The sequence below is a fragment of the Homo sapiens genome, chromosome 11, assembly GCF_000001405.40.
Source record: "Homo sapiens chromosome 11, GRCh38.p14 Primary Assembly".
Lineage (NCBI taxonomy): Eukaryota > Metazoa > Chordata > Mammalia > Primates > Hominidae > Homo > Homo sapiens.
This window is the reverse complement of record NC_000011.10, coordinates 5165677-5178992: the sequence shown is the minus strand read 5'-3', so window position 1 is coordinate 5178992 and position 13316 is coordinate 5165677. Positions and strand designations below refer to the sequence as shown.

The 13316-nt window shown below is 34.6% G+C and overlaps 2 pseudogenes across 1 annotated transcript, besides 1 other annotated feature; both read left to right on the top strand.

Annotated features, from left to right (window-relative positions):
- The first annotated feature begins 328 nt into the window (after positions 1–328).
- OR52Z1P (olfactory receptor family 52 subfamily Z member 1 pseudogene) lies at positions 329–1279 on the top strand (annotated as a pseudogene). The gene has a single exon (NR_172914.1). The product of NR_172914.1 is annotated as an olfactory receptor family 52 subfamily Z member 1 pseudogene (transcript).
- Positions 6772–8248: an enhancer, noted in NCBI's record as "1.5 kb EcoRI-BglII fragment in the LCR-Agamma-HPFH-6 transgene". NCBI's record gives its function as "enables persistent expression of the Agamma-globin gene when juxtaposed with it in adult blood of transgenic mice" and the evidence as "COORDINATES:manual assertion [ECO:0000218][PMID:9272169]" and "EXISTENCE:transgenic organism evidence[ECO:0001131][PMID:12855570]".
- Positions 7670–8936, top strand: OR51A1P (olfactory receptor family 51 subfamily A member 1 pseudogene; annotated as a pseudogene).

The following is a 13316-nucleotide window of genomic DNA, read 5'->3' as shown; positions in this document are numbered from 1 at the left end:
AAATAATAGTATTTATATAATGGTTATTTAAAGGGCTTTTCAATAGGTTATTGTGAAGATTTAATAAGTTAATATTTGTAAAGTAGTATGACACATATTAAGCAGTTATTAAATAATATCTACTAATTTTTTAAGGTACAAAAAATTAATTATTTGGTAGGACTTATATATTCGGTCTATTAACCCATTTTACTCTCCTTTCCCAGAGAAGAAAACATTGGAAAGAAAACAAATCTGATGAGACCTCATTCAGCCTAAGGTAGTGTTTCTAAATCCTCAACTTTGTAGTCTTTCACTAATGGCACTAGGCCTGGAATAAACTGTACATACGGCTCCTTTCTTTCGCAATCACACTAATTCCCAGGATGTGTGGTATGTCCTGATGGGAATCCCAGGGCTGGAAGGCTTGCATACCTGGATCTCCATCCCTTTTTCTTTTATGTACATTGTGGCTGTTGCAGGCAATATCTTCTTGATCTTCCTGATCATGACTGAGCGCAGTCTCCATGAGCCCATGTATCTCTTCCTATCCATGCTGGCCTCAGCCGACTTCCTGCTCGCCACTGCTGCAGCCCCTAAGGTGCTGGCTATCCTCTGGTTCCACTCCATGGACATATCCTTTGGTAGTTGTGTGTCTCAGATGTTCTTCATACATTTCATCTTTGTGGCAGAATCTGCTATTCTCCTGGCAATGGCATTTGACCGCTATGTGGCCATCTGTTACCCACTGAGATACACCATTTTAACCTCATCAGCCGTCAGGAAGATTGGCATAGCAGCTGTGGTCAGGAGCTTTTTCATCTGCTGTCCGTTCATCTTCCTGGTATACCGACTTACATATTGTGGGAGAAACATCATTCCTCATTCCTACTGTGAGCACATTGCCAGATTGGCTTGTGGCAATATCAATGTCAATATCATTTATGGCCTCACTGTGGCCCTACTCTCTACAGGACTGGATATAGTGCTTATCATTATATCCTACACAATGATCCTTCACTCAGTGTTTCAGATATCTTCCTGGGCTGCCAGGTTCAAGGCCCTTAGTACGTGCGGCTCTCATATCTGTGTCATATTTATGTTCTATACCCCAGCATTCTTTTCATTTCTTGCCCATCGCTTTGGAGGTAAAACCATCCCTCACCACATTCACATCCTAGTGGGCAGTCTCTATGTGTTAGTGCCCCCTATGCTAAACCCCATCATTTATGGGGTGAAGACCAAACAAATTAAAGATCGAGTGATTTTGCTTTTCTCTCCTATCAGTGTATGCTGTTAAGATTAAAAAGTCTGTTTTAGGGAATAGAATAAATACAATCCATAGAAATCCTCAAACACACTTAAAATGATGGTGTCTATCAAAGTGTCCACGGAATTTTGCTAAGGCACTCAAAGATCAAAGGTTTTGAAAAAAAAAATACTTTAATGAAATTCTCCATTTTTTCAGAAATACTATTTTCATGAATTTTAACTTAAAAATATATAAAGATAATCGAGAAAAGAGAAATATATTTTAGGGTTTAATCCAGATTGACTTTTCCTACGTAGAGCTAGGAAGTGGGGTTTTGAGTCAGTCACTGGGCTTTTTATAGTCAGTCTGAAATTCTGCTGAAATGTACAACACTCCCGCTGTACTCTGCAGAGACTTGAACCAATAACATGAAGCCATAATATTATTTTTGTCAACACCTGTTACTTAAGTTAAAATGTTATCCCTAGAATATTTTCTAACTCACTGACATCTCACAAAGTCTCTTGTATGGAATAGACACATAATACATATGTATTCAACAAGTGAATAATAGTGAATTAAAGCAAATAATAACCAATATTAAATTAACAAATATGAGATTGCCTGGATGATGTAAAATCTGATACACATTTCCCCCTATAGTGGAGATTTTAGACCCAAGTCATCAATGGAGCATCATGGCATCAACAGAAACATCACTGAAGAAGTAAAATGATTGAAAATTTCTATACCTGGGTGATAAATAAATTTTTAAAATAAACATTTTTTAAAAAGCTAGAGAAGATTAAGGAGAATATTTTCCAAGAAACTTAAATAAAAAAGAATGTAATCCCAGCAAAAGTAATTATCTATGATATTATCTACAGACTATACCTTAATCCCTTCACATCAATACAAATTTTTACAATCTCTCCTTCTTAAAAGCCTAGAACAATGCCATGAGAATGTTTAAAAAATGACCTTATTTACACCTAAAGAAAGACAAAAAAAAAACTTTGAGAAATCTGAGGTACTATCTTAAACACTTGAAATCTACTCATGCTTGGCTTATGCTTAGCTTTTTCTGTGATTTTTATAGAAATTTATACATGTATTAACACTTAGATTTACATATACACACACTTAATTTATCTACATTTATATGTGGATGTACCTTCATATATATGTACACACACACACACACACACATATATATATGCATGCACACACACACACACACACGTTTGTGCACCAAAGAATAAGAAAGTTAGAAATAGACTTCCTACAGTATTTCCATTATTGGGAAGGGAGAATACATAAAACATTCTAAAAAATCTAATTAATTTGTTTCTGCTAGTACTACACTAAATATTTAAGTGCTATTTTGAATTGTCTTCAAAATATTTGCATTTCTCAGTACATCTGTTAAACTTCATATAGTTTTTTTTTCTACTCTACACAATGTTTTGGACATTCTAATGTGAAATTTACACTCAGCGTTGCATTTCTCCATAAAAGTAATAATATGATGGAAAATGAGGGAATAGATAGATTGCAGTATGATGACAGAGGATTTGACTGAAAGGTAGGAAGATTTTGTATACTTGATTTTAGCAGTGGGGAGCTAAGAAAATGCCAATTTCACATCCAAAATGCATGCAACATGATATCTTAAATAGGTATATGAATATATATAATCATATATACATATATAGCTACACAGTAACATATACATGTCATTTTGACAGTTAAAATGGTAGAAGTAAAAATGATTGAATTTACAATCTCTAAATAAACTTTCAGTTGAGCACTCAGATTCTGAAAGGATTTAGGAAATGGCTGTTGCTATGCAGCTGCTGAATTTAACATTACTGAGCCATTGCCCTGGACATGAGAAGAAGTTTTCATGTTCTACTGTCTCCTTAACCAGTAATCCTTCAGCAGGAAGGGAAAGGGAAAGGGAAAGGGAAAGGGAAAGGGAAAGGGAGGGAAGGGAAAGGAAAGGGAAGGGAAGGAAAGGAAAGGAAAAAGGAAAGGAAAGGAAAGGAAAGGAAAGGAAAGGAAAGGAAAGGTCCAAAAAAGGGCAGAAACCAAACAATTTTAAAGCAGGGAGTTTTGGAAGCACTTAGCTAAAACTGATATGGTGTTCTAGACAGAATTAGCAAAAACAAAAAACAAAAGGTACAGGGTGCTAAGTGATTGATAAGGTGAGAATAGTATTTCAAATGAGCAAGAGATCCAAGACCAGTACCACTACAGACTATTGTTTTATAACTGAGGTCTTAGTTAATATCAATCAAGCAAAATTTTGATTTCGGGGGGAGAAAAAAGACCAAATTGTAATCTGGGGTGTATTTCTTTATTTACATCTTTGCCTTTATTTTTTAACTTTCTTTTGTATATGATATGATCATTTAAGTATAAGTCACCTGAAAGTAAAAAGAGTTATATAAGGACAACATAAAAATCAATAATGTTTTATGCAACTGCAAGAACCAATAGGAAAATAGAATGGGAAAAATGTCACATTCAAAATGATGATAGAGGCCAGACGTGGTGGCGCACACCTGTAATCCCAGCTACATGGGAGGCTGAGGCAGGAGAATGATTTGAATTCTGGAGGCGGAGGTTGCAGTGAGCCGAGATCGCGTCACCTCACTCTAGCCTGGACCACAGAGAGAGACTCCATCTCAAAAAAACCAAAAATACGTAAAACAAAAACAAAAAGAAAAACAAAAAATAAAACCCAAAATGATAATAGAACTGTATATGTGCCTAAAATAAATGAAATAATTGTTTATTATACATTGTTTATTGTAACAATTCTCTCAGAAACAACTCATAATAAATTCAATTCAACCCTAATCAAAATAAAAATTTGTCTTGTTTTAAATTTCTTTCCATTTTTATTGTGATAAAGTTTATAAATATGCTACATATAATACCGTATATCATATATAATAAAGCTCACCATATTAACCATTTTTAAGTATAATTATGTGGCATTAATTATATTAACAATATTGTGCCGCTATCACCATGATCTCATGCCAAAACTTTTTCATCATCCAAGCAGAAATGCTATACTTGTTAGGCAGTAACTCCCCAGTCCCATAGTAACCTCTAATCTACTATATGTTTCTCTAAATCAGTCTATTTTAGATAATTCATATAAATAGATTCATACAATATTTGTTGTTTTGTGTCTGGCTTATTTTACCCAACATAAGGTTTCAAAGTCCATCCATGCCATAACATGTATAGTGGTAAGTCTTTGCTTAATGTTGTCCATTCATAGATTCTTGGAAACTGAAACTTTAAGCCAAGTGACATATAATGATATCCATTTTTTTTCTCATCTAACAGTGTTGGCTAAAACAGTGTTATTTGAGGATCTGTTTTACATCATTTCACTTAAAGTTGCCATTTCCAAAAACCTATTCATGACATTAAATAAGGACTTACTGCATCTGTACTTCATTCTTTTTTATTGCTACATAATATTCCATTGTGTGTATATATCACATTTGTTTATTCATTCATCTGTTTATGTACATTCTGGTTGTTTCCACCTTTTGGCTATTGTGAATAATGCTACAATGAACATTTCAGTACAAGTACCTGTTTAAATCTTTATATATATTTTTAATATATACCTAGGAGAGGAATTTTGGGGTCATATGTTATTCAGTGCCTAAGTTTTTGAAGAACTGTCAAAATATTTTCTACAGAAGTTGCACCACTTAACATTTTTAGCAGCAATATATGAGGATTCCAATTTTCTTATATCTTTGTCAACACTTGTTACTTTTCATTTGTTTTGTTTCTCTTAAAGTATAGACATTCTAGTAAGTTTGAAGTAGTGTCTTATTGTGGTTTTGGTTTGCATTTTATGTGCCAATGTTCATTTGTATATCTTCTTTCTAGAAATTACTCATTCCCATCATTTGCATATTTTTAAATTGAGTTGTTTGTCTTTTTGTTTTTGAGTTGTAGGACTTTTTCATACATTCTGGATATTAAACTTATGAAATACATAATTTGCAAAGATGTTCTCTCATCTTATAGGTTGTCTTTTTACTTTCTTAAAGTCGTTTGTTGCATGAACTTTTTAAATGAAATCCAATTTATGTATTTATTTTTTGTTACTCATACTTTTTGTGTCATATCTAAGAATCTATTGTAAAATCAAAGTTCATGAAGATTTACCCATGCTTCCTTCCGAGGGTGTTATGGCTTTAGTTCAATTTAGGTCATTACACAATTTTTATGCATGCTGGCTTTTAATCCTTATTTGAAAGAATACAAAGTTAGCATGACAACAAAAATATAGCTTGACCAATTGAATATGAAGTTGTATATAAAAACAGAATAAGAACGGCAGTATGTGCATGTGGCAAAAAGGACACAGATCAAACAACAGAAAACAGTCTAGAATTAGATCCATATTTATATAAAAATATAAAATAAAATGTATGTAATCCCTCATCATGCTTGGAGACCAACCCTTGATCTTATACTTGGTATTAGAAAAATTGTTTATATGTTTGAGAATACTTAAGTAAAATTCTAATTACCCAAGTCCCCCAAACAAATTTCAGGTGGAATCAAGAATCTCTAACACTATTATTACCTGTCTTTATCATGATTACTGTCTCTATCCCCCTTTATTACTATCTACACCACTATCCCTATCTGCAGTTCCGTCTCTAGCTCTAGATCCAACTCTGCATCTCTCCACTTTTTACTTTGTATATGGAATAGCTTCTTAAGAATGAAAAGTATATAATATTAATAAAATGTATGTTAACCTGACTACATAAAAGTTTTGTAAATGATTGTGTATGAAAAAATTAATGAAGATAAGATGCGGGGGAAGTATATAAGAAATATAAACCAATGTCTTATATTTAAATTATAATTAATGATATTGTGTAACTATTTTATGTTTATTTGGGTTTTGCATTGACATTGGCATGTTCTTATGTATACTCTCTCCAGCATGCTTCTCAGGAACTATTCCCCCCTTTCTCTCTAATACACCCGAAGTTTCTGGGAATAATTATTCTTGGTTAATTGCTTCTTGAGGGATACTGAATCATTCTGTCTCTATGTCCTCCAGTCAACTAAGCACATATACAGGGAGGTAGTAACTATGTCCACAGCCCAGTTGAAAGTAAACAGTAACAAATAGTATGCATGGATTGATGTGGTAGCTCTCAGTTCCACCTAGGTAAGTATCTGAGGTCTAGGATCAACTATAGTTATGCCTAATGGTATAATGTGCTGGCTTGCACCAGCTTAGGAAAGCTGATTATGCTCATCTCAGCTCTGCATTTAATAGCATCTCTTTGGTAGTCTGAAATTGATCATGGTAGGAGTCATTAAAACACAAAAAATCGGTAACTGGTAAAAATCAGGGCATTTTTATTTGGAAATATTTATTACTATCCCACTGATTATGCCTAACGAAGAGCCCTGGCCCAACACGGGAAGAAGAGTTCAGCCTTGGTCACATTCTTATTTCTGAGCCCCATCCTGAATTCCATTTCTGGCCTCCAACGTTAATACCTAAGGCTCTGCTGCAGATAAGTGGAACTTTAGTGTTAATAAACTTGTTCCCAGATAAATATCTCTAAGCCTGTACCCTAGCCCCACCATCACATGTGACTTGTGAGATACTGATGCTTCTGATCTTGCTCCCTGACCCGGTTCCAGCAGAAGACTGACCCTTCTGCAAAATACAGAGGAGCTTTTCTAATCTATGGATAGCAGGTGGAGAAAGAGTGAACTGGTAAGTTAAAGAAAAAAATGGAAAATACTTTATTCTAGGAGAAACTATCCTTGTGTTCTAATATATTAAATTGTTCTTTTTATTCTATACATTTAATATTTACTATATTCCACATATAATGATAAACAATATATAAATATTACTTTAAAATACTATTATTGTCTTTATAGCAAATATCTGGGTCTCAGATAACTTGCAATATAAATCAACTTTAATATAATCCCAAGATTACACGTCAATTAAATGTTAGAACCATCAATACTCTTTATTAGTGTTATATTACTTTAGCTATTCATCTACTCTCTTTATAAACACTACAAGTTAGCAGTTTCTTCAGTCATAATTTCCATGTGAATCTGTCATCTCTATGCTTATTTTAACTGTTTTTCACTGCCATAGATGACCCAACTTGAGATTTCTATTAATGCCTTATCTGGCATATAGGCTATGTTGGAATACTTTTCTGCATGACCCATTAGGTTTCTCTTCCACTCACTGTGGCTTACCTGTGCCCTTGTTTCAGAAATAAATTTTTTATCCCTTTTTCTGAGGAAATGTCTTAGATATGACTGTTAGCTCAGAACTTGATGTGCAATAACTGAGTAGAAACTTATATATTCCAGTCTCCATGTGCTTCTCAATATCTTCAGAGGAAGTATCACCATGACGTTTTCAAACGTTCCATAACATTCACACCTACAACATTCACTCTCGTTGGCATCCCGGGACTGGAGGCAGAACATTATGTGGATATCCATCCCCTTCTGCCTGATATACACCATCATCTTTCCGGGAAATGGCATCATTCTTCACATCATCCGAATTGACTCTTCCTTGCACCAACCCATGTACTATTTTCTGGCCATGCCGGCCTTTGTTGAACTTGGTGTCTCTGCTTCCACCATGCCCACTGTGTTAAGCATATTCCTCTTTGGCATTAACGATGTCAGTTTTGGTGGTTGCCTGCTCCAGATGTTTTCTATGCACTCTTTCACTCTTATGGAGTCAGGTGTCCTTCTGGCAATGTCAGTGGACCGCTTTGTGGCCATCTACAGCCCACTGCGCTACACAACCATTCTGACAATTGCCTGCATTTCTGGGACGGGTGCCGCCATTGCCTTGCGCAGTGTAATGCTTATGCTCCCACTGCTCTTTCTCCTGAGGCGTCTGCCTTTCTGTGGCCACAATACCCTCACACACTCTTATTGCCTCCACTCAGATCTGATCAAATTGCCCTGTGGAGACACACGTCCCAATAGCATCCTGGCTCTATTTGTCATTACCTTCACATTTGGACTGGACTTATTGTTCATTGTGGTTTCTTATGTGCTGATTCTTCATACAGTACTGGAAATAGCTTCTGGAGCAGGGCGGTGGCAGGCACTCAACACATGTGTGTCGCACATATGTGCTGTGCTTGTGTACTATGTGCCCATGATCAGCCTCTCCCTGATGCACCGCTTTGGACGGCATTTACCTCCACTTTTCCAGACTGTCACGGCCAATGCTTACCTCTTTTTTCCTCCTGTGGTCAACCCCATTGTCTATAGTATCAAAATCAAAGAAATTCGCAACAGCGTTGTTCTTACACTATCCAGGAAGAGGGGTGAGTTCTAATGGAGACTGAAGATACCCTGACAGCACAGGCACTTAGATCAGGCTTTATTACCTGAATATTAGCTTTGCAAATATGAAAAATTCCATGGCTTATTATTGCTTGTTAATGAGCTTTAACATTTTGTAGATGAAGAAAAAAAACAGTTTTATATATTTCCCTGAGAATAGGAAATGGCATTACTCTGAAATAAAATTGTGGGAGGAGGCATAGAACACAGGCTTTGTCCTGGTGATGACACACTTTGTGTGCTGAATCCTTGAATACTCAATTCAGTGACATTTGGTTCTGGGAATATGTAGAAAGAGTCTTGGGGAGGTTTAAGTTTCTGGTTATATTAAAATTAGTGATACATACTTGTGAAGGAAAATAATCAGGACACAAAAGAGTACATATTGTATTATTTTGTTTGTATAGTTTCAGAACATGTACATCTAATTTAATGTCAAAAAATCAGAACCCTGCTTACCTCTGATGGATATAAAGATGGAAGAATGGGGAGAGACATGAGGCAATTTCTGGGGAGATGGAAATATTTTGTTGTGTTAGGGATGTGGTGACATTGTTTTGTCAATTTGTCAAAACGGTACAGCTAAGATTTGCACATTTCTAGGTACATCAATTTTACATCAAAACTTCTGAATGATAATAATAACAAAAAGGAAAATAGTAATAATAATACAGATGATTAGATTTCATAGTGAATACAAGTGTGGAAAATACAAGAATGGTGTAATGTTGATAATTGTTGAAGTTGTGTCATGGGTGCCTGGAAATTAATTATAATATTCTGTTTACTTTGTGTAGTTTACAATTTCTGTAATAAAAAGATTCTTAAAAAAATTATACTCAGTGTGCTAATGTTAAATCTTAATTGAATATGCACCATGAAGCAGAGATAACTTTTAACTGGTCAGGAGGAAACTGTTTGGCTTTAGAAAGCTATTTTATTTTTAATGAGTTCAATACTAGAAAGAAAAAAAACCACAACTACTTGAAAATACTGTTTTAGAAGAAAATAACTAAAAAACAGAAAAAGCAAGGCCTACTCCTGCAATAGTCTTTGGTGACATCAATCACTCGGTAGTAGACAAGCTTCTGACAAACAAAAAGGTAGGGAGGACCAGAAGAATTCTAGAAAATCCCTCAGACAGGGATTGCAGAGCCCAACTTTTTGTTTTCTTCAGATAATTTTGAATTTCCATGAACCACAGTGAATATCCTATTAAACCACACAGTCTTGAGTGATTATCAGCCAACCAAGTAACTAATAGAAGGTTTGGTCAAATAAAAATATGTATCAAGTAATGAGTGGCAAAATTTATATTTTTTTCTGTTTTCCTCGAAATTAATTTATGGACTTAAAAAATTTTTAATGTATGAAACACCTTTGAAAGTGTTCAATGTAGTGAAGTCATAAAAACAACATGGGATTTAAAAAAAAATTCTCAAAATTTCAGAGTAATTTAGAAGCCCTTCCTTAACAATAATTATTGGTAACCTCCATTACAGTCCTGTATTACTATTCTTATGGTATACATGAAAAAACTAAGAGATAATTTTTGTAACTTTATCAAGTTCACACAATGGAAAACTTGTACACCCAAGAGCCAAGTCCTCAGTGTGATGTTATACACTTGAACCAGATGTACCTAGGTTGAAATCTTAGCTATCTTGCTATTAGTAATTGTGGGATCTTGCTAGTAGTATGACCTGTTTGAATATAATTTATTCATTTATAAATGAATAAGAAAATAAAATCCAGCTTTTATGATCTTGAAGATTAAATGAAATGGTGCACATTAAGCAATTAGCAAAGTTCCTAGTAAAATTTGCTCAATAAGTAATTATATTTTATTAAGTAATTACTTTTTCACCAAATCTGACTACAATACGTGAATACACAGTCAAATTTCACAATTCCTGACAGTCTCTCTAAATGCTAATTTTAAACTCAAGTACATAAAAATTAAAGTCACAAATTTCTCTGTCACGAGCTATAGTGTACCATACTAAGTGATTTATATAGATTAGTTCATTTAATCCACGGAACAAATATATGAAGAAATTATCAGTTTGTCTACATGTTACAAATGTAGAAACAGAAACATAGAGAAGTCAAGTCATCATGCCCCAAGTCAAAGAGTTAATAAGTGGCAGAATCACAACTCAAAACCAGACAATCCAACTAAAAACCTGATTCTTTAGCCCACCATATTATCAGTGGTCCCATAACTTAAAATTCAGATTTGACTTTAAAATTGGAATCTGAAGAACACCAAGCAATTCTGTAAACCATTTTCTCCTTTGAGATTCATGAGGACAAAATTCACTCACCTCTGTTTCCTCTAATTATAGTCATATATTAATAATGTATAAAGGTTTTCTCAAGAGGATCTTTATAAAAGGGGCCTTCCCACATTAGTTTAACTGCTTAGGTACTGATTCTCTTCTACTTCCTCAACCAACACTTTTAGAACTATCATCTAAGATTACATCGGTCAAATTTTCTTATGCTTACAATAAATAAATACTTTTTAAGCCAGCAACTTCACTTCACTTACTATGTTTTATTACATATTATTCATTCTAAGTGTAGTCCTAGATATAGTAGAGTACTACGCCAAGACATCAGGTCAAGGACAAAAAGATGATCCTAAAAGCAGAAGAGATGAGAAACAAATAGCATATAAAGGAGCTCCAAATCCTGTGACAACAAACATCTCAATAGAAATCACACAGTCCAAGAGAGAGTCGAATGAAATTTTCAAAGCGCTCAGGGATAAAAGAAAACTGATATTCAAGAATATTTTATAGGGTAAAACTGTTATTCAAATATAAGCAATATATAAAGTCTTTCCCAGACAAACAAAAGTTGAGAGAATTCACCAACACCAGACCATCTTGCAAAAAATGCTAAAGGGAGTTATGCAATCTGAAAGAAAAAAGACATTAACATGCAAAAGAAAACTTTTCAAAGTATGAAACCCACTGGTAAAATTAAGTACATAGACAAACCTAGAATACCCCATTACTGTATTTTTTGGTGTGCAATCCACACAGAACTCCAGTATGAAACCCAAAAAACAAATCTTTCAAAAACAGTAATAGCTATAGCAACCTTTTAAGATGTAGGTAATATAAAATATGTAAAATGAGACAAAAGTCAAAATGTGGGGGTGGAGTGGAGTTAAAGTGTAGAATTTTTTTGCCTGTTTTTGCCCTTGTTTATATTCCTTTATTTGCGATCTAAGATAATTCGTCATCCTTTAAAATAACTTGCTATATTTATAAGATGTTTCTTGTAAGCCCCATGGTAACCACAGCACAAAAATCTATAATAGATTTACTAAAAATAAAAAGTAACAAATTAAAATATGCTACCAGAGATAATCACATAACCATGAAGGAAAAAAAAGGAAGAGAGGAGTCTCCATACAGCCAAAAATAAGCAAAAAAAAAAAAAAAAAAAAAAAAAGGAAATCCTTACTTAGTAACTACACTGAGTGTAAATAGTCTCAGTTCCCCAATTAAAAGTAATAGAATGGTAAATGGATAAAGAAACAATATCCAACTTTATGCGATCTTCAAGAAACCCACTTCACCTATAAAGGCACACATAAATGAAAGTGAAGGGTTGGAAAAAAATTCCATGAACTGGAAACCAGAAAGAGCAGTAGTAATTGTACTTAAATCAGATAAAATAGACTACAAATTTAAAAACTGTAAGAAAAGATAAGGAGGGTCACTGTATAATAATAAAGGGGTCAATTCAGCAAGAGGATACAATTATAAATATTGATGTATCCAACATCAAAGTTCCCAAGTATATAAGGAAAACATTAATAGTCCTAAAGGGCGAGACAGACTGCAATACAATAATAGTAGGGAACTTTAAACACTTCAGTCTCAGTAATGAACAGATCGGCCAGACTAAAAATCAACAAATGAACAACACAGTTAATGTACCCACTATATCTAATAGACCCAACTGACATTAACAGAACTTGTCCCCCAACTGCTGAAGAAGATACATTTCTTTAAAGCAGCATGTACAACATTTTCCTAAATAAGGCCATATGTTAGGCCACAAGGTAAGTTTGTACAAATTTTTCAGAAGTAGAAATTTTATCAAGTATATTTTCTGACCACAGTGGAATAAAACTAGAAATGAATAACAAGAAGATCATCAGAAAATATAGAAACATATGGAAATCAAACAGTATGCTCCTGAATGTCAGGCCTCTGAGCCCAAGCTAAGCCATCATGTCCCCTGTGACCTGCATATACACATACAGATGGCCAGTTTCTGCCTTAACTGATGACATTCCACCACAAAAGAAGTGAAAATGGCCTGTTCCTGCCTTAACTGATGACATTGTCTTGTGAAATTCCTTCTCCTGGCTCATCCTGGCTCAAAAGCTCCCCTACTGAGCACCTTGTGACCCCCACTCCTGCCCGCCAGAGAACAACCCCCCTTTGACTGTAATTTTCCTTTACCTACCCAAATCTTATAAAACAGCCCCACTCCTATCTCCCTTTGCTGACTCTCTTTTTGGACTCAGCCTGCCTGCACCCAGGTGAAATAAACAGCCTTGTTGCTTACACAAAGCCTGTTTGGTAGTCTCTTCATATGGACGCGCATGAAATTTGGTGCCGTGACTCAGATTGGGGGA